General features: G+C 39.9%; 1 long non-coding RNA gene across 1 annotated transcript; it reads right to left on the bottom strand.

Annotated features, from left to right (window-relative positions):
- Nucleotides 1-6,176: 6,176 nt before the first annotated feature.
- LOC105375324 (uncharacterized) lies at nucleotides 6,177-18,365 on the bottom strand. Its single transcript, XR_927599.2, has 3 exons — nucleotides 17,890-18,365; nucleotides 17,192-17,301; nucleotides 6,177-7,299 (listed from the first exon to the last, which is right to left on the bottom strand). It is a non-coding gene; the product is annotated as an uncharacterized LOC105375324 (long non-coding RNA).
- Between the last annotated feature and the right edge of the window lie 9,407 nt (nucleotides 18,366-27,772).

The raw sequence follows: 27,772 nt of genomic DNA, 5'->3' as shown, positions 1-27,772 counted from the left end.
TATTTTTTGAAGTTATTACCATGATGTTTATTGCATAGGGCCATTTGGCTTTACTTTTAGGTTTGTGCAGTGGGAAAGACTCTGCATACATTTCTTGAGTATAAACAAATATATATATATATACACACACACACGTGTATGTGCGTGTGTGTGTACAACAAATACAATGTTTTATTGGCTTAGGAGTCATCTTTTATCTGAGGTTGATTTTTAAAACTGAGTCTCAGAAAACAATGTATCTTTGTTGTGTTGGTCATTGAGATTCAGCACAGTATGACACCTGACTTAATAGGGTGAGGGGTTAGGATGGGGTAGAAGATGAGAAATTACTTAATGGCTATAATCTACATTATTTGAGTGATGCATGCCCTACAAGCCCTGACCTCACCACTGTGGAATATATGCATGTAATTGAATTATACTTGTACCCCATACATTTGTATAAATAACTTAAAAAGAACCACAAGAGTTTACTATCTTGTTTGTTTATAAATGCAAATACATTATGAATGTTTCCCATGACATTAACTATTATTGATGCAGGAGCTAAAAAGAAATTTTAATTTTAATAAAAACAGCCCCCATATTATTTCTTTTCTAACATAGAGCAGTGTGTAAAATTGAGCTGCAGACATAGATAAGCAAGACGGAAGCTTGCACAGATAAACGCCGGCAGCTGTGTCAATAAGAAAAGGTGCTACCTGGGGACTAGGCATGTTCAGAATGGTGGCTCTATCTTCCCTTTCCTTTGTAAACCATGTGTACAGTAAGAAGCAGGCAACATGGCATCAGCCAGGCAAAGACCGCATCTGCATTATAGAAGATTAGGTGGGGGCAGTCAGCTTCCCCGTGCACTGTGTAAACATCACACCTGGCTCAACCAATATTTGGGCCATATGTAAATCAGACCCTGCCTCCTCAAGCCGGTCTATAAAATCTGGTGCGCTTTGCTGCAGGCCGGAAGTCCACTCAGGCAACCCTCTCCCTCACAGGAGAGAGAGCTATTTTCCTTTCTCTTTCTTTTGCCTATTAAACCTCCACTTCTAAACCTACTTCTTGTGTGTCCACATACTCAATTTCCTTGGCATGAGACGACAAAACCCAAGTATTTACCCCAGACAGACGACACTGCTTCATTATAAGTGATAAATTTATTAGTTAAAATTGCTATATTAAGAAATATAGCACATTTTAAGGCTGCTGATGCACAGTGCAATAACTGCCATATACAAATAGGACACCAATTATACTTAGAGCCCAGGCACAGAGACTCACACCTGTAATCCCAGCACTTTAGGCTCCCAGGGCAGGTGGATCACTTGAAGTCAGAGGTTTAAGATCAGCCTGACCAAAATGGTGAAACCCCATCTCCACTAAAAATATGAACTTTTTTTTTTAGTAGAAAAAAACTTTTTTCTATTAGTAGGCATGGTGGTGCACTCCTGTAACCCTACAAGGGTGAGTTAAGAGAATTGCTTGAACCCAGGAGGCAGAGGATGCAGTGAGTTGAGATCACATCACTCCAGCCTGGGTGACAGAGTGAGACCCCGTCTCAAAAAAAAAAAAAAAAAGTATTACAAAGCTCTTGTTTCCCTGCACTTACCATTTATGAATAGTTCAATGAAATATGTTATTTTTAAAAACATTTTCCATTTTGGTATGTAAAAAACTGGCATCTCATTATTTTAATATGCATTTTAGTAACTAGGTAACTTGGTTTTATATATGTTTAGTGTATTACTTTTTGAATTGCCTAGTCATGTCTTCTGCTTATTTTGCTATTCAATTATTTAATATTTTAGTGATTCATATGAGCTCCCCATTATAGTAACCATTTGTCCAAAATTATTATATATATATATCTCCATTCAGATTCCAGTGTTCATTCTCAATGTTTTTGAGAGAAAAGGACTTCCTCCCCTCTAAAGATTTCCACTCTCTAAAGAGCTTAAACAAGTACCAATTACTCAAACACAATTAGGGAAGTTTAAACATTATCTAATTGAACTTTATTTGTGGAAAATAAATGTTCTTACCTTTCCATTATTATTTAACCATGTATAGAAAGGAGCCCATACATTCTAGGCTGATAAATCTCTTTTTAAAAAGGGAAAATGTATTCTGTCAAAGAGGGGACCAAATTCCAAGTTCACACTGCACTTTGCTAAACACATTGCCTTTGTGTTGGCTGTGTTCTCTCTGAAACACAGAGCTGCTCACATGACAGCCCTGTTCCAAAACATTTGATGGCTCATAGCAGCCAGCACAACCGACCCCCCATTCATTTTTCCAAGGTCAACACCTCTTATTATCACAACTCTATGCAACACTTCCAAACTCTATTCTCTACTCACACTCCACTTCTTGTCCTACTCGGTCCTCAAGTAAGCCTCATATTTTTATACTCCAAGGCCTATACTTAAACTGTTTTTTTCCTAAATGTACATTTTCCCATTCCCACATCTTTCTTTTCCACATGGCAAACCCTGCACATTTGAGAGCATTACTTTCTCTTTCCACTTGAATGTTCTCCACTTGTTCTTGCTGATTGTGAGGCACTGGTGAGTTTTAGAACTGGAATCATATTTTATCCATCTTTGCAGTTCTAGAGCCTTGCGCTGGGGTAATTGTCAAAAAATGGTTCCCAATGCAAACTTGCTGATGGTGATATTCAACAGATGAGAAAATGAGCCAGAATGCCTGTCTACTAATCCAGATGGTTTTTCACTATTATTTTGCTAAAACTCCCCCATTGTCATTAGCAAAATAACAATGATAATAATGATACTAGTACTAAATACACAAAATAAGTCAGTTATAATTGAGCTGGTAGCATGCATGACTTAAATTCTCTATTTATTGCTAGTTTCAAGATAGTCCTCATCCACAGATAGGAAAAAACAGGAAACAGACCCTCAAGTGCTTATCACAGTGCAAAATCTTCCAATTCCATAACTTGCTCAGGCACCCTCATAAAATAAACAAGGCACACTGGTGACCCCCATCTCAGACACACTCTAAGAGAGATAGAAGGTCTTCCTCTTTACTGTCCTCCAGTACACTTGACTCCTCCTGCTTCAAAAACAACAATAACAAAATAATATCTCCCAGAGGCTATCACACTTGAACTTGGACAAATTTTTAGATTTGATTAGTAATTAGGTCAATACAGTTGTTGCCCTTACTTGACTCATATCACATGTTATAAACCTCTTGGGATCACCCCAATACAAATTCCGAGGCAAAACCTTGAGTTTCTATGTTATGTAAAATAACAATAACCTCTTATAACACAAAACAATGGACCTGTTCTCAAGGCATTGGCCCTACCCAAAGAAAACTAAATTTCCCAAACACTTATGAAGTTTACAGCTTCAAGTCTCTTCAAAAGTAAGCTACATATGAGTCTTTGAACAGGGCTCAGCACTTTCAGTGAGGTTAAAAGTCAGTGTCCACAAGGAAGGTTTTAAAAGGCAGAAGAGTCCCCCACCAGCCACCACACAGAAGACCATCAGAATGTTAGAGTCCACGCCCACTTCTCCACTTCTAGGACATCTCCCACCATGTGAAAGACCATCTCCATTCCACAGCCTAGCCTTTCCAATAAGAACATGGTAACAATTCAGTCTTTGGCAGGATTTGTCCAAAGTTTCATTCTAGTTTGCCACTGGATCTCACTCTGTCAACCTTCTGCTTTAGTGTCTTGTTGACCTCCCCTTTTCTAAGGGCACACAAATCCCAGTCAGTTCTTTCATGTACTACCACCACCTCTGCAAGCCCCTCCCTCCGCAAAACATCCCTCTCACTTCCTGACCATCACAGAAGTGAAGGTCTAACTTATATTGTCAAATACTAGCTAGAATGTGCTGTAATCTATTTCTGGAAGCCAGAACCCTGTGCTGGCACACTTCTTTTTCTCTCTTGGTGTGCCCATCTTTTCCCTTGATGTGCCTCACAGGGAGGACTATGCACAGAGGAGGTTTTCAGTTAGTATTTGTTTGGTGAATGGATCATGACTCTATGGCGGGTAGTCTGGAAGGGGTCAGAAGCACAGCCCTAGAGACACACTTAACAGTTTGAGTTCTAATAGCTGGCCGCCTCCCTGGGTCTCTATTTCCTCATTTGAATCCTGAGGATAATAATTACATCTACATCTCTGTGTAAAAGAGTTGTTGTGATGAATGAATGAGATGTCACAAGAAAAAAAAATTAGGATGCTGGTAGCTAGTGCTCAATAATTGTTAGATCTTCTGACTTCTGCTCCTACTGCTATCATGCTGAGTGTGTTTCTACATAAACTAACAACAAACAAAGGGTAAAAATTAAAGTATAACTTTAGATTCTTGACTTGTCAAACTGGAGACCTATTGGGGTAATAAGTCTAGCACAGGCAGAAGAGAAAATGAAATACTTAATTTCTGGTTTATCTGATTTAAAGCAAATACAGGCAGGTCTGGCTAAGAAATGATTTTCACCAAAATTTGTCTGTAACTTGGATGCTGTAGGTTAAACTTATTTAAAAATAGTCTAGACAGATTCATTTGTAATATAAGCATGTTGTAGTTTCTGATGTTTCAGACTGGATTTCTGTTTGTTTGTTTGTTTGTTTGTCTATTTATTTATTTTTGAGATGGAGTTTCACTCTGTCCCCCAGGCTGGAGTACAGTAGTGCAATCTTGGCTCGCTGCAACCTCCGTCTCCCAGGTTCAAGCAAGTCTCCAGCCTCAGCCTCCCGAGTAGCTGGGATTACAGGTGCCTGCCGCCGTGCTCAGCTGATTTTTGTATTTTTAGTAGAGATGAGGTTTTGGCATGTTGGCCAGGCTGATCTCAAACTCCTGACCTCAGGTGATCTACCTGCCTCAGCCTCCCAAAGTGCTGGGATTACAGGCGTGAGCCACTGTGCCCAGCCAGGATTTCTGTGTTTTTAGTTTTTTTGAAGAGACACAAGAGACAGCAGTAGCTACTATCAGACTTCTTAGAGACAAGCTGGTCCAATGAGATTTTACAAAATTTCATTTACTGCCAGGCGTGGTGGCTCGTGCCTGTAATCCCAGCACTTTGGGAGGCCGAGGTGGGCAGATCACCTGAAGTTAAGAGCTTGAAACCAGCCTGGCCAACATGGTGAAACCCTGTCTCTACTGAAAATACACAAGTTAGCTAGGCATGGTGGCAGGCGCCTGTAATTACAGCTACTTGGGAGGGTGAGGCAGGAGAATCGCTTGAACATGGGAGGCAGAGGTTTCCCTGAGCCGAGATCACCCCACTGCACTCCAGCCTGGGTGACAGAATGAGACTCGTCTCAAAAAAAAAAAAAAATCACTTACTATAAAGGTAATAATGAAATAAATCAGAATCTATAAACATAAGAATTTGATCAGTGCTAACCACTCCACTTTCCCAATATACATATACTTCTCCCTTTTTTTTGAGCATAACGCAAAACAAACACGTGGCCACCCACCATCTACTCTCCAGTGCAGAACAGATAAATGAAGGTACAAAGCAAGCTTCAGAACACACAGACCACCATGCTCACCCCATCTAAATCTAGAGCTGCTTTTAAAAAGAGGCAAAATCAATGAGAAACTGAGAAAGTGAGTGGCTATTCTGTTCTCAGCACTTACTGTCAGAGGAAGATGAAACATGCACACACACTCTCTCATTCTAAGGCAGAACATCCACTTTTCTGAGGAAAAGGTGATTTTACAGCATGTAACCCAATGCCACATTCTTAGCAAGATGACAGTGGTTGTTTTGTTTTGTTTTGTTTTGTTTTTTGGAACGGAGTCTCGGTCTGTCACCCAGGCTGGAGTGCAATGATGTGATCTCCACTCACTGCAACCTCCACCTCCCAGGTTCAATTGATTCTCCTGCCTCAGCCTCCCGAGTAGCCAGGATTACAGGTGCACACCACCATGGCTGGCTAATTTTTTGTATTTTTAGTAGAGATGGGGTTTTGCCACGTTAGTCAGGCTTGTCACGAACTCCTGACCTCAAGTGATTCACCTGCCTTGGCCTCCCAAAGTGCTGGGATTACAGGTGTGAGCCACTGCGCCTAACCAACAGTGGTTTTGAGTGTGCAAAGAATGAGCATATCACAGACACCCTTAAGACACATTACATGGCCTGGCTTACCTGATACAATTTTTAATTTCTCTGAAGTAAACTCACTAAAATTCGAAAACATGTATTTCTTTATTCACTTATTTCATTAATTTTCTCAGGGACTTACAGAAAATATATTCAACTTTCATTCACTTAATCTTACCACAATAGATGGTCTAACATATTTAGAAGACAGCTGTATGTAACACATGCCCATACCCCAAAGCATAGCAAATTCAACACACCAGGGCCTTGAGGAAGCCAACACTATAATAGTGCAAATACACAAATATTTTTTAAAAATTCATCACCCAACAGACAGCATGTGTGGTCACCACTATCCTGCATTCTTTAAAATAAGTAGCTATGCATGGCTTATCCAAAAGTTAGCTTATATATGCTCATCACCAAAAATTGGTTCTAAACATACTATTGATTTCAATCTTGGATATTCACACAAGGCAATTATCTGGTAAGTTATATTTATAAATAACATATAATTAGGCTTCTAAACCCACACATATGGTTGGGTCACAGTGAGGCAAAGCACTCTGAGTTATTTGTAGAGTACCTTAAAATTTAAATTTTCAAAAATCACACTTAAGCTTAGTTTTAGAAGTATTCTCTTTAGCATCTCTTCACCAAGCTATTCCAATTTTAAAAAATGAGGAGTAGGGAGGGCTTTTTAATGTTTGATTCCTTCCTATTCAGTTTATCTTATCTAATAGAGAGATGAAATAAAGTGTGGTGTCTCTCTTAATAGAATTTATGGTTGTGGTTATTCAGAAATATCCATGCTCCCAAGCAAGAGATGAAAAATCACATTCTCTCCAAAATGGAGAGACCAGTGCTCCCTGGGGCCCAAAGGGATGTTCAGGTTGCATCTGTCAGGATTGACACCACAAAAGAGAACCTTCTTTGGAGCACAGTGGGGGTTACCTGAGGTTTTGGTAAGTTGTTTAGATGACATCAGAGACAAGCATTGCCCAAAATGAGAGTCCCAATAAGACTTCCATGTGAGATTGTCTTAAGAGGATTGTGGCCCAGTTCACACATAAGAGGATGGCTGTGCAGCCCAAGGAGACAGATATCTTCTCTCAGGAGCAGAAATCTTCATGTAAAAGATGTCCACTTGCTGAGTAGTTGAAGCATGCCCCGATAGAATTCTCTGGGGATCAGATTGCACACTGTCTCCTAAGTTGAATAAAGCAGAGAACAACATGTCTGCACAACAGCTTCTAGCATGTACCAACTCAGCAGAAAACACATCACAATCTATCTTGTTCCAAAAAGATTTTATTTGTCATGGGAAAGAAAATGAATTAGCCTGGGCGTGGTGGCTTACGCCTGTAATCCCAGCACTTTGGGAGGCCGAGACGGGTGGTTCACAAGGTCAGAAGTTCCAGACCAGCCTGGCCACAATGGTGAAACCCTGTCTCTACTAGAAATACAAAAATTAGCTGGGCATGGTGGCAGGTGCCTGTAATCCCAGCTACTTGGGAGGCTGAGGAAGGAGAATTGCTTGAACCTGGGAGGTGGAGGTTGCAGTGAGCCGAGATTGTGCCACTGCACTCCAGCCTGGGCGACAGAGCGAGACTCTGTTTCAAAAAAAAAAGAAGTGAATGAATATAGTAGGAACCCAAGGGCTGTCGAGGGGTAGGTAGTAAGTCTGCCATCACCAAATGTATTTAAGTGCTGGTTAGACAATCACTCTGTGGGAATAAGTTTCACTCTTTGCAAAAGGGGTAAAATAGATCTTTTTCTTTGGCACCCACAGATCTAGTGAAGATCCTAGCATACAGTAGATACACAGCAACTTTCGTTTACTAAATAAACTTTATTTTCACACAGATTACTGGTAAGCAAAATATTGATATAATGCTAAGACATTAAGGGTATCAGAAGACCACTCATGTTCTTTATGGGGTTCCAATTAAGAAATAAGTTGAAAAATCAGTCAATGAAAGGAGTTCTGATGCTCTTAAGTAGCATAAGATCTACTCTGATGGACTTAAGCCATTGTAAAAGTCCCAGCTTGGTGCCTATCAAAAGCCTCTTTCCATGAATGTTATGCTTACAAGTCAAACAGATAAAGCATCACTAAAGCAAACATAAACTACAAAGCTCTTAAAATTTAGGTGTACATTTCATTTGAAAATTATTCAAAAGCTCAAGCCATCTATAAGAAATGTCTTCTTTGCCTGTTAGTATCAAGAAATTAAAAAGAAAGAAGAAAAAGGAGAAGTGGGCAGTAGGAAACCATTTAATTATTTTAATAGGTAAGAAAATGACATTGAATTTTCACTGTTACATGAGTACTTTTTATGCTTCATCCATGCCAGGTACATAACTTTTAACCAACTAAAACACATTACAAGTAGAGAAAAAGCTAAAAACATGAAAAACATGTGCATAACTCTATAAAGGGTAGAAAACATGCTGTGTTCATAAACATTGCTTAATCCAACATTCCAGTATCAGTGAGGCATCAGCATCCACCCAGCTATAAAAGCCAAGATCGGAAAGTCATCCATCCCTTCCCAACACCATTCTATTGGCAAGCTTTTCCTACCTCTTAATTCTCTATCAAATCCATCTGAGCTCCCATCTTTACTGCCACGATGCTCCAGGCCACCACTAGTTTTCAAAATTTTCATAAACTAGCCTTCTAACTGATCTCCTTCCAAAGAGAAGGCCAATTATTATTTCCTCTTACCAGGGGAAAAATAGTCCCTAACATGCAAATATCATTATGCTGCTTTTTTTTTTTTTTTTTTTTTTTTTTTTTTTTTTTTGAGATGGAGTTTCACTCTTGTTGCCCAGGCTGGAGTGCAATGGTGCGATCTCGGCTCACCACAACCTCCGCCTCCCAGATTCAAGTGATTTTCCTGCCTCAGCCTCCCGAGTAGCTAGGATTACAGGTATGTGCAACCACACCCAGCTAATTGTGTATTTTTAGTAGAGACGGGGTTTCTCTATGTTGGTCTGGCTGGTCTCGAACTCCCGACCTCAGGTGATGTGCCTGCCTCAGCCTCCCAAAGTGCTGTGATTACAGGCCTGAGCCACCGTGCCCAGCTAATCATCATGCTGCTTTTTGGGCCAACACTTTTCACAGCTTTCCACAGTTCTTACAAACCTGGTCAACTCCCTACCTTCCTCACCATTCCTGTCATTTACGTCATTCAGTATTTTTTTCCTCTTCCAAACACACTGTACTTCTCTCACTACCCTGGACACATCCACCTTTTCAACCTCAGGGCTTCTGTACCAACTGTTCTCGGAAGCATTCTTTCCCTCCTGTCACCCATCCCTCAGATATTAGTTAAAATGTCACTTCCATGGGATGCCTTCCTTGACCTGCATCCCAGCATCCTCCATTTCTCCCCCCAACACAAAGGCCAAACTTTACTTCATAGGTTCTTGTCATACTTAACTTTTAGCAGTTAACACAGATATAAATGACCTCTTCATGGCTGGCTGAGTCTCTTTCAATGTGACATATCATCTATGAGACTAGCAACAGTCTCTCTTTATACCAGTCTGTGGCCCAGGGGTTGGCGACCCCTGATGTAGGGCAGTTGCATTTATTACCAGCACACCTATGTTGTATAGTGCCTGGCATAAACCAGGTAGCCAATAAAAAGCTATTGATTAAATGCAGGACTTATAAGGTAAGGTTTATTTTTTCTCTTAAAGGAGAAAAAAATGCTTTAGGTAAAGGTAACATGCTGTACCTGTGTCAGATGCAAATAAGACCTCAGGAATCTGCCTGAAGAAACTTAAAATAAAAGATCCCTTCATCAAAAGGTCACTTGTTGGATGGTTGTAACAAGTTAGGAATGGGTGCACCACCTGTACCAGCTCAGTGAGATACATGTTCCCTATCACATAACAAACACGTGTCTGCCCACTTCTCCTTTTTCTTCTTTCTTTTTAATTTCTTGATACTAAAAGGCAAAGAAGACATTTCTTATAGATGGCTTGAGCTTTTGAATAATTTTCAAATGAAATGTACACCTAAATTTTAAGAGCTTTGTAGTTTATGTTTGCTTTAGTGATGCTTTATCTGTTTGACTTGTAAGCATAACATTCATGGAAAGAGGCTTTTGATAGGAACCAAGCTGGGACTTTTACAATGGCTTAAGTCCATCAGAGTAGATCTTATGCTACGTAAGAGCATCAGAACTCCTTTCATTGCCTGATTTTTCAACTTAGAGTCTGAATTTCTGATGAGAAATAAAATGGTATCTAGAAAACCCCAGAGAATGATATTCCATATATCAGTGAGCATCCATGGCATTTTTAAAAGTATCACACATCCAGCAAATCCCTTGAAAAACAAGACACCCTAATATGCTACCAGTTTAGCCATATTTTTTTTTTGAGACGGAGTTTCACTCTTGTTGCCCAGGCTGGAGTGCAATGGCGCAATCTTGGCTCACCGCAACCTCCACCTCCAGGGTTCAAGCGATTCTCCTGCCTCAGCCTCCCGAGTAGCTGGGATTACAGGCATGCACCACCATGCCCAGCTAATTTTGTATTTTTAGTAGAGACAGGGTTTCTCCATATTGGTCAGGCTGGTCTCAAACTCCCGACCTCAGATGATCTGCCCGCCTAGGCCTCCCAAAGTGTTGGGATTACAGGCATGAGCCAACATGCCCGGCCAGCTGTATTTTCAAGAATGATAAGACAGTGTAACTTTATTTACCTGAAATGGAGCACAGGATCCTTTAGAAGGAATTCATACCCATTCCTGCAAAAGTTCTGTGGCAATTGAATGTAGCACTGAACTAAGCATCTTTTTGTTTTTTCAAAGAGGTTTTAGCCAAGACTTTGGCCTCTAATTTCAGATTCCCTAATTAAAATATGGCTTCAAAACTATACCTGCCTACTTGAAAAAACACAAAATCTAGAGGATGCTTTTCATGAGTGTGAAAAAATGAAAACAAAATCACATCCTTCTCTTGGCAGTTCTCTCCCTCACCTTCCACTTCTATTAAACTTCCTTCAGAATAATCGTGCACAGATTCAGAGACAACTACATATGTAAGGAAAAATAAACCCTTTCACGCACCTGTAGCCTCAGCTACCTGGGAGGCTGAGGCAGGAGAATCGCTTGAACCCGGGAGGCGGAGGTTGCAGTGAGCCGAGATCGTGCCACTGCACTCCAGCCTGGGCGACAGAGTGAGACTCCGTCTCAGAAACAAACAAACAACAAAACAAAACAAACCCTCTCAAATATATGTGGGTATACTGGAAACTCTGTCTTGGCAGAAATCATTTTAAGGTTTTTAAAGACAGAAATGTCTTACTATTTCAGCATTCTTATCCAACAGGCACTTTGTTTCCATTGACTTAGAAAGGGCTAAGCTTAAACTCTTAAGAACGAAGGTTTAATTTTCCGTTAATAAAAATCCCAGACAGGTGCTCTGACTTACCAAATCGTTATATTTTTTATTCACCCTTCTATGTCTCTCCGCTACCACGATCATGACCACCCACAAAAGAAGAAGAAAATCCCTCCGATGTTCCCCAAATGTGTGCTGGTGCTAGCCCGGAAGCTGTGTAGAGTTTTGTAATGGAATGTGAATTGCCACCCGGATCTGGGTTCTATCTCCTAACCAGTAAGCAGAGAGGGAGGACAAATCGGCTAAGCAAGGAAAATTTCTTTCCTCTTCTACATAACCTCTCACTAATGCAGAGCTGAGGAGGGTCGCCAGCGGCCCATGGCGCTTGCCAAGCGGCCCGCTGGCCAGTGCGTTCTGCGCTGGGTGGGATCCCGGTGCCCTCCAGGGCTCCTCTCTGCCTGGAAAGGAAAGTGCCCCGCCGAGCAGTGGGATCAGCCGCCACGCCCCGGCCTCACACTTGGCCAGGGAGTGGGTCACATCCTCGATGCGCCCTTGGCCCAGAAAACATGCCGCTTCCTAGGGAGGGGGTCGGTGAGGGGAAGAACCTCCCCTGTGTCTTAGCAAACATCAGGGTAGCAGTTTTCTTTCTTTTTTTTTTATCTTTACTTATTTATTTTTTTATTATTATTATACTTTAAGTTTTAGGGTACACGTGCACAACGTGCAGGTTTGTTACATATGTATACATGTGCCATGTTGGTGTGCTGTACCCATTAACTCGTCATTTACATTAGGCATATCTCCTAATGCTATCCCTCCTCCCTCCCCCTACCCCACAACAGACCCTGGTGTGTCATGTTCCCCTTCCTGTGTCCATGTGGTCTCATTGTTCAATTCCCACCTATGAGTGAGAACATGCGGTGTTTGGTTTCTTGTCCTTGTGATAGTTTGCTGAGAATGATGGTTTCCAGCTTCATCCATGTCCCTACAAAGGACATGAACTCATCTTTTTTTATGGCTGCATAGTATTCCATGGTGTATATGTGCGACATTTTCTTAATCCAGTCTGTCATTGTTGGACATTTGGGTTGGTTCCAAGTCTTTGCTATTATGAATAGTGCCACAATAAACATACGTGTGCATGTGTCTTTATAGCAGCATGATTTATAATCCTTTGGGTATATACCCAGTAATGGGATGGCTGGGTTAAATGGTATTTCTACTTCTAGATCCCTGAGGAATCGCCACACCGACTTCCACAATAGTTGAACTAGTTTACAGTCCCACCAACAGTGTAAAAGTGTTCCTATTTCTCCACATCCTCTCCAGCAAGTCAATCCTAAGCCAAAAGAACAAAGCTAGAGGCATCACGCTACCTGACTTCAAACTATACTGCAAGGCTACAGTAATCAAAACAGCATGGTACTGGTACCAAACAGAGATATAGGCCAATGGAACAGAACAGAGCCCTCAAAAATAATGCCGCATATCTACAACTATCTGATCTTTGACAAATCTGACAAAAAGAAGAAATGGGGAAAGGATTCCCTATTTAATAAATGGTGCTGAGAAAACTGGCTAGTCATATGTAGAAAGCTGAAACTGGATCCCTTCCTTACACCTTATACAAAAATTAATTCAAGATGGATTAAAGACTTACATGTTAGACCTAAAACCATAAAAACCCTAGAAGAAAACCTAGGCAATACCATTCAGGACATAGGCATGGGCAAGAACTTCATGTCTAAAACACCAAAAGCAATGGCAACAAAAGCCAAAATTGACAAATGGGATTAATTAAACTAAAGAGCCTGTGCACAGCAAAGGAAACCACCATCAGAGTGAACAGGCAACCTACAGAATGGGAGGAAATTTTTGCAACCTACTCATCTGACAAAGGGCTAATATCCAGAAACTACAATGAACTCAAACAAATTTACAAGAAAAAAACAAACAACCCCATGAAAAAGTGGGCGAAGGATATGAACAGACACTTCTCAAAAGAAGACATTTATGCAGCCAAAAAACACATGAAAAAATGCTCATCATCACTGGCCATCAGAGAAATGCAAATCAAAACCACAATGAGATACCATCTCACACCAGTTAGAATGGCGATCATTAAAAAGTCAGGAAACAACAGGGTAGCAGTTTTCTAAGAGAGGCGAGTGGGGAGGGGGCGAGGGGGCCCCGGCAGAGGCTGTTGCTAGGGGCAGAGGTAGCAACACTAGACTGTGGGCCAGTATGAGAGGAGGAAGGGAAGCCCCAGAACTAGCGACAAATTGTTCCAGTAGGGCCGGGGGCAGTGGCTCAAACCTCTAATCCCAGGACTTTGGGAGGCTGAGGCGGGCGGATCACTTGAGGTCAGGAGTTTGAGCCTGGCCAACATGGTGAAACTCCGTCTCTATTAAAAATACAAGAATTAGCCGGGCGTGGTGGGTGCCTGTACTCCCAGCTACAGGAGCCTGAGGCAGAAGAATCTCTCGAACCCGGGAGGCAGAGGCTGCAGCGAGCCAAGATCGTGCCACTGCACTCCAGCCTGGGTGACAGAGCGATACTCCATCTCAAAAAAAAAAAAAAAAAAATTGTTCCAGTGGGAGAAGGACCCCTGTCTTTTTTTCTGGGTTCACAATCGCACCAGGCACCAAGCCCCCCACCTTGTGCAAGGATGGTGCACTCCACACCGACAGTTTTCAGTAAAACATGTACCCCGCCAATGGAATTTCAAGGAACAATAGGTGCCCCCATGACCAGGCCCTGGCCCCCTTCTTTCCTGGGCACCTTAGATGGTAGTAGGACACACCACAGCTGCCAGCTAGGAAAGGGCCAGGGTGCAGGGCTGCTTGCTGCCCCCTTGATGCCAGTGTCCTCTGCCCAGGAGGATCAAAGTCCTCAGAGCAGAGCACAGCAGATGCTCCTACCAAGCACCCTCGGGAGGGCACCCCAGGAAACCACCTCCTAGCTGGCACCCCCATACTTTGTGGCTGCAGTGGAAAGCAGGCACCCTAGTCTCCAGGCTTCCCTGTTAGGGAGGGACTGGAAAGAACATGAGAAAAGTTCCTCCTTCTGCAAGGGGAAGGATGCCAGGAAAGAGAGGGCACAAGATGGGGAGCAGCGTCAGGAAGATGTCTCTGGACTACAAGACTTGCACCATCGAATCCTGGCGGTGTTACAGAAAAATAAATTCGGCCGGGCGCGGTGGCTCAGGCCTGTAATCCTAGCACTCTGGGAGGCCGAGGCGGGCGGATCATGAGGTCAGGAGATCCAGACCATCCTGGCTAACACAGCGAAACCCCATCTCTACTAAAAAATACAAAAATCAGCCGGGTGTAGTGGCGGGCGCCTGTAGTCCCAGCTACTCAGGAGGCTGAGGCAGGAGAATGGCTTGAACCCGGGAGGCGGAGCTTGCAGTGAGCTGAGATCGGGCCACTGCACTCCAGTACTCCAGCCTGGGCGACAGAGCAAGACTCTGTCTCAATAAATAAATAAATAAATAAATAAATAAATAAATAAATAAATAAATAATAAATATAAATTCACCCTAGTATTCTGGGAGGCCAGAAAGCCCCTACTTCAACTGAGGGACACAATGACGTTTTGGGTCCCCTGGAATTAACGTCAGCTCAGAGCCAGTGTCCAGTAGTCCCCAAAATGTCTGATCATTTTCCTTTCCCCACTACACAATTACCCTGGTAAAAGGACGGAGGTCTGCTTGGGGAAGGATGGGTAAAAGATTCACTACGTAAATTGTCAGTAATGTAGTGGGGTCCTTCCTCAAGACAATCTGGCCTCCCCTTCCTTCATTCAAGGGGTTCTGGGTCTGTAAACTGGCTCAAGTCTGGAAATTGATTGAGGTGCCATGATTCTCTGTTTTTATAATTTAAATTAGTCTTTTGTCCATTCAACCTAGAAGTTTTCTCCTTATATAAATTAAGTAGGAATGCAGTAGGCATCCTATCAGTTTCATCTCTAGGAACACCGCGATTAATTAGCCAATGCCAGAGCTCTGCACAAGTGAGACTATTCTGACTGCCACTTTGCCTCTGCTGTCCATTATGGTAACTACACCCACCTTGCCTTTGATGGCTGAGTGCCACCACTTGGCCCCTGCCACCTTGGGATCCAATGATTCCCACTGAATTTAAATTTTGTAGCTGAGTGACCGCATTTCCCACCATTAGATCTGACATACAGAGAAGAGCAATTACAGGGCTCTTCAAAGATGCGGGTGCTGCCCCCACACACCTATCACAAACAATATCAGAAGGCATTGGTCAGGGGTATATCTTCTGGACCTTCCCAGCTGGGATGAGTAGGTCTAAAGTGACTAATCCACTCCACCATCCCAATCTCTCTAGGCCTTTGGATACCTTCCTCTACATTAAACCAAGGGAGATCAAGCATTTTCAGCTCACTCACAGAGGGCCATCTTTTAATCCATATTTCAGCTAACCAAGCAAATAAACTGTTAGAAACTTTTTCAACTCCCCAAGCTGCAACATTAAAAGCAGAGTCCCTACTTAGTAGGCCCAAATCAGTAAATTCAGCCTTATCCAACTCTATGTTCCTTCCACCATTATCCCTTACCCTTAATATCCATTCCCATGCCCATTCTCCAGATTTCTGTTTATATAAATTAGAGAGCTCAAACAGTTCTTTTTGAGTGTAGCATACCTTCTCAGGGTCACACTCTGAACCCCACCTCTAGGGCCCACAGGGACTTTAGTCTAGTTATAGGTCTAGAAGCAAATGGGATGTTGGGGGTGGCTCCTGTGGAGAATCAACGTTATCTTGCCTGGCAACTGCCTCAGGGGAGGCCATCTAGAGGAACAGAATATTCTCAGGCAACCCAGGGTTTATCTCCTCAGACAAAGGTGGAAAGGCTGATGGCATGGGTTGGGAAGGGGATGTTGCCACTCCTGGGGATGGGGAAGCTGTTCCTTCTGGTAAAACAGGTTCATCAGAGTTTAAAAATTCGGTGTCCGCAGCTTCATCAGGGTACTCCCACACATCCCTCTTCCAAGTTTCAGGATCTCATTCTTCTCCAATCAATGCCCTCACTTTAATAGTAGACACCTGGAGAGGCTGTGCATGCATCTTCCATTGCAGGTCAGCCACTTGCATGGTAAAAGCTTGTGTCTGTTTTTCCACAATTTCAGCTCTTTCTCTACATCAGATAAGACTCTCATTCAGGGCAATCTTAGCAGATTTGAGGCTCCGTATTTGCTTCTGAAGCCAGGAGATGGCATCCCTGATGTCGTCATTTTCTTTCATCACTTTGTCTGCTGAACTTAGGAGCAACCAACAAGCTTCACTATGTTCCATGGTTCTCCACATATGGTCAAAGGTATTATGTGTAGAGTCACTAAACTTCTTGCCCCTCACAAGCAGTAAATCAGGAGCATCAAATGCATTTATTTTGCATAACTCTCTAAACAGTTCATGCCAAGGACTATCAGTGTTCTTCATACTATTAGAAGTAGACTCCTTAGCATTTTGGGGTCTAATCATATTAAGCAGCCAACTCCAGAAACCCCAAAACCAATAAAAGAACTCCATCCTTAATATTCTGTTAGAACCAATACTGGTACCAAAATCTGTATTAGAGTTCTCTAGGGGGGCAGAACTAACAGACTATATATATATATACACACACACACACATATATATAAATATAAAATATTATATATATAAAATAAACTCCCATATATATGGGAGTTAGTTTATTATTAACTTACATGATCACAAGGTCCAACAACAGGCTGTCAGCAAGCTGAGGAGCAAGGAGAGCCAGTCCGAGTCCCAAAACTGAAGAACTTGGAATCCGATGTTTGAGGGCAGGAAGCATCTAGCACAAGAGAAAGATGTCAGCTGGAAGGCTAGGCCAGTCTCGCCTTTTCACATTTTTCTACCTGCTTTATATTCACTGGCAGGTGATTAGATGGTGCCCGCCAGATTAAGGGTGGGTCTGCCTTTCCCAGCCTACTGACTCAAATGTTAATCTCCTTTGGCAACACCCTCACAGACACACCCAGAATCAATACTTTGCATTCTTCAGTATAATCAAGTTGACATGCAGTATTAACCATCACACCAGGCAAAAGAGTAACATCACCTAGGTGCAGGTTCCACCCTTATTTCACAATGTTCCATGTGGGCAAGGCCCAAGCAGAAAGTCACATCACCTAGGTGATAGGCCCAGAGATATGTCACAACGTCCTCCTTGAAACATGGCCCTGGCAAAAGAGTACCAACACTTGTGTGCTTGATCTAGCAGTATGTCACAATGCCCTCTCTAGGCAGGCCCTAAGAAGGAGGGTCACATAAACTGGGTGCTGGACCCAGCAATGTGACAGACTAATACATGTGGAATAAACACAGATGAGGCATGAGAGCCCAAACACCTAAAGGATGGGTCTAAGACAGGCTAAAATACCTTCTGTGGCTCTGGAACAGGCAGGAGAGTCACATCATCAGGGTGCTGGGCCCAGCAATATGCCATAATTCCATCTTAATTCAGGACTTAGGCAGAAGAGTAACATCATTTGGGTTCTGGGCCCTGCAATAGATCAAAATTTCCCCTTGTGTGCATGATTCAGAAAAATGAGGATAGTCATATTACCTAAGGGCTGGGCTCAGAAATATGTCACAATCCCCGCATTGTAAAGATCCAGGCAAGAGAAGAAAGTCATATCAGTTATGTCATGGGCTCAGAGATGTGTTCCAATTTCCCCAGTATGCAGGCTTGAGGTAGAAAAAAAGAATCTTATCACCTAGGTGCTTCCCTATGTATTTGTCACAGTCTAACATGTGGGCAGAAACTGGGCAGAAGAACCACATAAACTGAGTGCTGGGTCCTGAGATATGTCATAAGGCTCCCTTAAAACAAAACCCAGGCAAGAGGGTTACATCACCTAGGTGCAGGTTCCACCCGTATGTCACAATGCTCCATGTGGTCAGGACCCAAGAAGAAAGTCACATCACCTAGGTGATAGGCCCAGAGATGTGTCACAATGTCCTATGTGAAGCATGGCCCTGGCAAAAAAGTACCATCACCTGTGAGCATGGCCTAGCAATATGTCAGTATCCCCACCCATATGCAGGGCCCATTCCAGAGAGGAGAGTCATGTCAACTAAGTGGTGGACACAGTGACATATCACAGTAATTTCTGTGGTCATGGTGCATGCAAGAATGTAACATCACCTGGGTGCTTGATCCAGATATATGTCACAATCCTTAGTGAGAGCAGGCCCCAGGCAGAGTAGTCACATCACAAGAGGTTAGCCCAGATAGACATCACAGTCCCATATATGGGCTGGAAACAATCTGGAGAGTCAAATCACACAGGTCCTTGGCAAAGATATATATCACAATCACACTGGCAGAGAATTCCAGGGATGAGATTTGCAATGCCACATATGTCCTGTTTTCATGTGTGAGAGTTGGCTTCATACATGTGAGACAGTGACAGTTCTTACTGTCAGCTGGGTGTGCATATGAGACTCAGAATTTCACTTGTGTGCTGGGCCATGTTATGACACTCTCTGTACAACACAGGTCTTTATATAACATGTGTGAGTATTGTAATCTTCTGTGACCTTTATACTAGAAGGAGATTGAGGACATTACTAGTGTCCCTAAACCTAGTCATGAGAGTAAAAATTTCTCTTATTGGCTGGGTCCACATATGAGAGTTATTATCATGCCTGTGAGCTGTACCTAGCTATATGTCACAATCCCCTCTGTGGTTTTGACAGGGAGCCCAGCCACATCACCTAAATGCTTTTCCAGAAATATTCCAATATTCTCCTTGTAGGCAGTGTCCTGAGAGAAAAGTCACAAAACTTGGGGACTAGGCCCAGCTCTATGGCACAATGCCCCTTTTGGGCACGCCCAGGCAGGAGAGTAGAGTCATATCACATAAACGATGGGCCTAGAGATATTTCACAATGTCTCCTGTAAACACCACCCAAGCAAAAGAGTCGTATTGTTTGGTTGCAGTGCTGAGAAATGCTACAATGCTGACTGAAGGCAGGGTCCAGGCAAAAGGGGGGGACATGTAACCTAGATAATGGGTCCAGAGATGTGTCACAATCCCTTCTGAGGACATTGTTAAGAAAGGAGAGTCAAACTATCAAAGTGCTTGGCCCAGGTATATGTAAAAATCTGTCAAACTTATGCTTTGATTCAGCAAATTCGAAACACTTTTTTTTTGTAGAAATTATGAAGTTACGTATTGTGAAAACACTTTGTGATGTCCTGTTTTACATCACAGAATTGAACTTCATTTTAATGAAACATGTTCCAAATGCTCTTTCTGCAGAAACTATGATGCGACCTTTCTGAACTTATTGAGCTTTTATAGGAATATATCAATATCTAGCCCTTAATAATAGAAACAAACTATCTGTGAAAATGCTTTGTAATGTGCAGTTTTACATCACAAAAGGGAAACTCTGTTTTGATTCAACAAGTTCTAAACACACTTTTCCTGGAATCTAAAAAGTAAAGTTTCCAAAGCTATTGAGCCTTTATTAGAAAATATAAATATTCAGCCCTAAAAACAACAAAAAAAACTATCTGTAAAAACGCTTTCTGATGTGTGGTTTTCTATCACAGAATTTAAACTGTGTTTTGATGAAAAAGGTTCCAAACACTCTTTTTGTAGAATCTAAAAAGTGGCATTCCAAATTTGAGTCCTTAAAAGAAAATATGAATATCCAGTCCTAAAACTTAGAAACAAGCTATCTGTAAAAATGCTTTGTGATGTGCTGTTTTATTTCACATGATTAAACCCGCATTTTGATGAAACAAGTGCAAAACAATCTTTTTGTAGAATCTTAGTAGTGACATTTCCAAACTTATTTAGGCTTTATGAGAAAATTCAAATATTCAGCCCTAAAAACTATGAACAACGTATCTGTGAAAATGCTTAGGGATTTGCTGTTGTATATCACAGAACTGATCCTGCATTTTTATAAAACAGTGTTCAAAACATTGTTTTTGTAGAGTCTAAAAAGTTACATTTCTGAGCCTACTGGGCCCTTATAAGAATATGCAAATATTCAGTCCCAAGAACTACAAAAAAGCCATCTGTGAAAATGCTTTGTCGTGTGCTGTTTTATATCACAATATGGTACATGCGTTCTGATTCAACAAGTTACAAACATTCTTCTTGTAAAATCTGAGAAGTGACATTTCTTACCCCATTGAGCCCTTATGGGAAAATATGAATATCTAGCCATAAAAACTAGAAACAAGCTATCTGTGAAAATGCTTTGTGATGTGCTGTTTTATATTACAGAATACAACCTGTGTTTTGATTCAACAAGTTCAAAACACTCTTTTGTAGACTCTAGGAAGTGTTATTTCTGAAGCCATTGAGCCCCTATAAGAAAATACAAAAATCATGCCTTAAAAACTAGAAACAGGCCGGGCGCAGTGGCTCACGCCTGTAATCCCAGCACTTTGGGAGGCTGAGGCGGGTGGATCACAAGGTCAGGAGATCGAGACCATACTGGCTAACGTGGTGAAACTAAAAAATACAAAAAATTAGCTGGACATGGTGGCGGGCACCTGTAATGCCAGCTACTTGGGAGGCTGAGGCAAGAGAATGGCATGAACCCAGGAGGCGGAGCTTGCAGTGAGCTGAGGTCACGCCACTGCACTCCAGCCTGGGTGACAGAGTGAGACTCCATCTCAAAAAAAAAAAAAAAAAACTATCTGTGAAAATGATTTGTGATATGCTGTTTTATATCATTGAATTGAATCAGTGTTTCTATGAATAGGTTTCAAATGATCTTTTTTTAAAATGTAAGAAGTGACATTACTGAACCTATTGAACTCTTATAGGAACATAAGAGTACCCAGTCCTAAAAACTAAAACTAGAAACAAGCTTCTGTAAAAACGCTTTGTGATGAGCTGTTTTATGTCACAGAATGGAAGCTTTGTTTTGATTCAACAAGTTCAAAACACTCTGTGTGGAATCTAAGTAGTGCTATTTGTGAATCTATTAAGACCTAACAAGAAAGTACAAATATCCACCCAAAATCCTAGAAACAAGTTATTTGTGAAAACACTTTGTGTTGTGCTGTTTTATATTACAGCATTGAACCTGTGTTTTGATTCAGCAACTTTCAGTCTATTTGTAGGATCTAAAATGTTGTGTTTCTGAACCTATTGAGCATTATGAAAAAATACAAATATCCAGTTCTAAAAACCAGAAACAAGCTGTACATAAAAACGCCTTGTAATGTGCTGTTTTACATCACAGAAAAGAACCTGTGTTTTTATTCAACGAGTTCAAAATACTCTTCTGTAGAATCTAAGAGGTGACATTTCCAAACCTATTGAACCCCTATAAGAAAATTAGAATATCAAGCCCTAAAACCTAGAAACAAGCTATTTGTAAAAATGCTTTTGATGCACTGTTTTATATCCCCAAGTTGAATCAGTGTTTTAATGAAATAGGTTCCAAACACTCTTTTTTTTAGAATTGAAAGAGTGACATTACTGAGCCTACTTAGCTCTTATAGGAACATAAGAAGATCCAGTCCTAAAAAATGGGAACAAGCTATCTGTAAAAATGCTTTGTGATGTGCTGTTTTATATGACAGAATGGAGCCTGTATTTTGGTTCAACAAGTTTGAAACACTCTTTTTGTAGAATCTAAGTGGTACCATTTCCAAACTTAATAAGACCTTATTAAAAAGTACATATATACACATGAAAAACTAGAAACAAGCTATATGTGAAAACGTTTTGTGATCTGCGGTTCTGTCTCACAGATTGAACATGCATTTTGATGAAACATGTTTGAAACACTCTTTTTGGGGATTCTAGGAATTGACGTATCTGAATCTATTGAGCACTTATAGGAACATAAAAATACCCAACCCTGAAAACTAGAAACAAGCTATCTGTGAAAACACTTTATAATGTGCTGTTCTATATCACAAAATGAAATCTTTGTTTTTATTCAACAAGGATGAAACACCCTTTTTATAGAATCTAAAAGTGATGTTTCCAAACTATTGAGTCCTTATAAGAAAATATGAATTTCCAGTCCTAAAAACTAGAAACAATCTATCTGTAAAAATACTTTGTAATGTGCTGTTCTGCATCACAGAATTGAACCTGCATTTTCGTGAAACAGATTACAAACACTCTTTGTGTAGATGCCAACGAGTGACATTTCCAAGCCTATTGAGCCCTTATAGAAACATATGAATACGCAGCCCTAAAAACTTGAAACAACCTACTTGTGAAAATACTTTGTGATGTGCTGTTTTATATCATGAAATTGAAACTGCATCTTGATTAAATAGGTTTCAAACACTCTTTTTGTGGAATCTAAGCAGTGACATTTCCAAGACTAATGAGCACTTCTAGGACCATACAAATATCCAGTTTTATAAATTAGAAACAAGACATCTGTGAAAATGCTTTGGGATGTGCTATTTTATATCCAAGAATTCAACCTGCATTTTGATGAAACAGGTTCCAAATAATCTTTTTGTAGAATCTAAGAAGTGACGTTTCCCTGCCTAGTGAGCCCTTATAAAAATATACAAATATCGTCTTAAAAATTAGAAACAGGCTATCTGTGAAAACTCTTTGTGATGTGCTGTTTTATATCACAGAATTGAACCTGTGTTTTAATGAAACAGGTTCCAAGCAAAAATTACATAGAATCTAAAAGTGACATTTCCTTGCCTATTGAGTTTTTATGAGAACATACGAATATCCAGCTCTACAAACTAGAAACAAGCCCTCTATGAAAACATTTTGTGATGTGCTCTTTTTAAACACAGCATTGAACGTGCATTTTGATGAAACAGGTTCCAAACACTCTTTTCGTAGATGCTAAAAAGTGACATTTCCAAGCCCAATGAGCCCTTATAGGAACACATGAATATTCAGTCCTAAAATCTAGAAACAACCTATTTGTGAAAACCTTTTGTGATTTGCTGCTTTATATCACCAAATGGATCCTCCATTTTGATAAAATATGTTCCAAACACTCTCTTTGCACGATCAAAGAAGTGACATTTCCAAGCCTATTAAGCCCTTATAGGAACAAGTGAATATTCAGTCCTAAAAACTAGAAAAAAGCTATTTGTGAAAATGCTTTGTGATGTGCTGTTTTATATTTCAGAAGCGAACCTGCATTTTGATGAAACAGGTTCCAAACACTCTTTTGGTAGAAATTAAAAATGGCATTTCTGAGCCTATTGAGCCCTTATAGGAACATAAAAATATCCAGTCCTAAAAACTAGAAACAATCTATCTGTGAAAACAATTTCTGATGTGCTATTTTATAGCACAGCATCTAACTTGTGTTTTGACAAATCAGGTTCCAAACAGCCTTTCTGTAGAATCTTAGAAGTGACATTACTGAGCCTATTGAGCCCCTGTAGTAATATATTAATATCCAGTTCTATAAACTAGAAACAAGCTATATGTAAAAATGCTTCGTGATGTGGTATTTATGTCACAGAATGGAACCTGTGTTTTGATTCAACAAGTTCAAAACACTCTTTTTGTGAAATCTAAGAAGTGACGGTTCCAAACCTATTGAGTGTTTGGAAGAAAATAGGTATATCCAGCTTTAAAAACTAGAAACAAGCTATCTGTGAGAACACTGTGTGATGTGCTGTATTATGTCACAGAATGGAACCCGTGTTTTGATTCAACAAGTTTGAAAGTCTTTTTGTAGAATCTAATATGTGATGTTACTAAATCTATTGAGCCCTTATAAGAAAATACAAATATCCAGTCCTAAAAAGTAGAAACAAGCTATCTGTGAAAACGCTTGTGTTCTGCTGTTTTGTTTCAACGAATGTAACCTTTTTTTATTCAACAAGTTTAAAATACTTTTTTGTAGAATCTATGAAGTGATGATTAGGAACGTATTGAGCTCATATAATAAAATACAAATATCCAGCCCTAAAAACTGGAATCAAGCTATCCCTGAATATGCTTTGCGATGTGCTGTTTTATATCACAGAATTCAATCCACATTTTGATAAAACAGATTTTAAACCCTTTTTTGTAGAATCTAAAAACTGACAGTTCTGAGCCTATTGAGCTTTTATAAGAAAATACAAGTATCTAGCAATATAAACCAGAAACAATCTATCTGTGAAATATTTTTGTGATGTGCTATTTTTTTTTTCACAGAATGGGACCTGTGTTTTGATACAAGTTAGAAACACTATATTTGTAGAACCTAAGAATTAATTTTCTGAGCCTATTCAGGTTTTATAAGAAAGTAGGAATATCCAGCACTAAATATTAGAGACAAGCTATCTGTAAAAATGTTTTGTTATTTGGTATTTTACACCACAGAATTGAACCTGCATTTTGATGAAACAGGTTCCAAACGTTCTTTTTGTAAAATTCAAAAAGTAACAATTTTGAGCCTATTGAGCCTTTATAGGAACATATGAATGAATATCCAATCCTAAAAACTAGAAACAAGCTATCTGTGAAGACGCTTTGTGGTGTGCTGTTTTATATCACAGAATGGAATCTATGTTTTGATTCAACAAGTTCAGAACTCTCTTCTTGTAGAATCTAAAAAGTGACATTTCTGAACCTATTGAACCCTTATAAGAAAATACTAATATCTAGCAGTAAAAACTAGAAACAAGTTATCTGTGAAAATACTTTGGGATGTGCTGTTTTTTATTACTAAATTAAATGTGTATTTTGATGAAACATGTTCCAAACATTCTTTTTGTAGAAACTGAGAAGTGACTTTTTTAAGCTAATTTAGCCCTTATAGTAACATATGAATATCCTGCCCTTAAAATGAGAAACAAGCTCTGTATGAAAACACATTGTGATGTGCTGTTTTGTACTACAGAATGGAACCTGTAATTTGATTCCACAAGTTCAAAACACTCTTTTTGTAGAATCTAAGAAGAGACATAGATGAGCTTATTGAGCTTTTATACGAACATGCAAATATCCAGTCCAAAAAACTAGAAACAAGCTGTGAGAATGCTTTGTGATGTGCTATTTTATATCACAGAATGGAAACTATGTTTTGATTAAATAAGTCTGAAACAGTTTTTTGTAGAATCTAGGATGTGACATTTCTGAATCTATTGAGCCCTTACAAGAAAATACAAATATCCAGCCCTAAAAACTAGAAAATAGCTATCTGTGAAAATGCTTTATGTTTTGCTGTTTTTTCTTTTTTATCACAGAATGGAACCTGTGTTTTGATTCAACAAGATTGAAACACTCTTTTTATAGAATCTAAAAAGTGACATTTCTAAACCTATTGAGCCCTTATAAGAAAATACAAATATACAGTCCTAAAAACTAGAAACAAGCTATCTGTGAAAACTCTTTGTGATGTGCTGTTTTATATGACAGAATTGAACCTGAATTTTGATAAAACAGGTCCCAAACACTCTTCTTGTAGAATCTAAGAAGGAACATTTCCTATTAATTTGTTATAGGAACTTATGAATATCCAGTCCTAAAAACTAGAAACAAGCTATCTGTGAAAATGCTTTGTAATGTTCCATTTTATATCACAGAATAGAACCTGTGTTTTGATTCAATAAGGTCAAAATATGATTTTTGTAGAATCTAAGAAGTGACATTTCTGACCTATTGAGCCCTGATAAGAAAATATGAATATCCAGGCCTAAAAACTAGTAACAAGCTATCTGTTAAAGTGTTTTGTGATATGTTGTATTACGTCACAGGACTGAACCTGCATTTTGACAAAACAGGTTCCAAATGCTTTTTTTGTAGAATCTAAAAAGTGACATATTTAAGTGTATTGAGTCCTTATAGCAACATACAAAAATCCAGCCCTGAAAACTAGAAACAAGCTATGTGTGAAAACACTTTGTTATTTCCTATTTTATATAACACAATTGTACCTGTTTTGATTCAACAAGTTCAAAACACTCTTTTTATAGATTCTAAAAAGTTATGTTTCTGAACCTATTGAGCCCTTATAAAAAATATGAATATCTAGCCCTAAAGCCCAATCTATCTGTAAAAACGTTTTGTGATGTGCTGTTTTATATCACAGAATTAAACCTTCATTTTGATGAAACAAGTTTCAAATACTTCTTTTGTAGAATCTAAGTGACATTTCAAAGCCTATTGAACATTTACAGAGACATATGAATATCCAGTTCTAAGAGTGAGTAATAATCTATTTGTGAAAATGCTCTGGGGTATGCTATTTTATATTACAGAATGGAACCTGTTTTGATTCAGCAAGTTTGTAACAGGCTTCTTGTAGAATCTAAGAAGTGATGTTTCTGAACCTATTGAGCTTTTGCATGAAAATAGAAATATCCAGCCCTAAAAACTAGAAATAAGCTATTTGTGAAAACACTTTGTGATGTATTGTTTATATCACAGAATTAAACATGCCTTTTGATAAAACAAGTTCCAAATACTCTTTTTGTAGAATTTAAGAAGTGGCATGTCTGAGCCCATTGAGCTTTCATGGGTACATACAAATATCCAGTCCTAAAAGCTAGAAACAACTATCTGAGTAAATGCTTTGTGATGTGCTACCTTATATCAAAGAAAAAACCCATGTTTTGATTCAACAAGTTCAGAACACTTTTTTGTAGTATTTAACAAGTTCACAACTAACTCAGTCAAAATGGAGCATCTGGGAGGCAGGAGATCGCTCTTGTCTGACTCTTCTTGATCCCTGTCTGACTCCTCCCTTGGGAGACAGGATTCTTCGAGAGCCTTTCTTGCAGAAGGCATGATATGAAAAAGCCAACACATGAAAAATTACATGTTGAGAGAGTCCAAGTGTCGTGGAATCATCTGCATCAGCACTGAAAGCTTCCGTAACTGTGGGGAGGAAGGCTTCTTAACTCGCATCTATAGTAGTCCTCTACCTGCTGCCACAGCTCTTGCATGTCTTAAATCATTTTCCTATGATTTAGAATCACTTTCATCAGATAAAGCACCATTTTCAGTATGATTTTAAATAATCTGTAATGTTCCTGTTATCCCCATAACTGTATCCTATGTAAATCTATACATAGAAAACGTTTTTCACATGGTTATAAAAGTACAGTATGATCAAAAGTGTTGCTATAATGATTCCTCCTGCTTTACTTAATGCCTGATGGTTTCTGAGTTGACAATTTTCTTACCTATTCTTGGTATGTCCCTAATTCATCCTTCACTTGTCATCTTTTATCATAAAGCTCCATTCTCCTTGTATTAATGTCTTTGCCATATTTCACAGGGCAGAAAAAGCTGGGCTTCTCAACAGGCACAGTCAGTTTGAAGAATGCGGCTGATCCTACAACA

This window comes from Homo sapiens, chromosome 7, assembly GCF_000001405.40.
Source record: "Homo sapiens chromosome 7, GRCh38.p14 Primary Assembly".
Classification (NCBI taxonomy): Eukaryota; Metazoa; Chordata; class Mammalia; order Primates; family Hominidae; genus Homo; species Homo sapiens.
The sequence above is the reverse complement of the archived record's forward strand: the minus strand, read 5'-3'. Positions and strand labels throughout refer to the sequence as shown.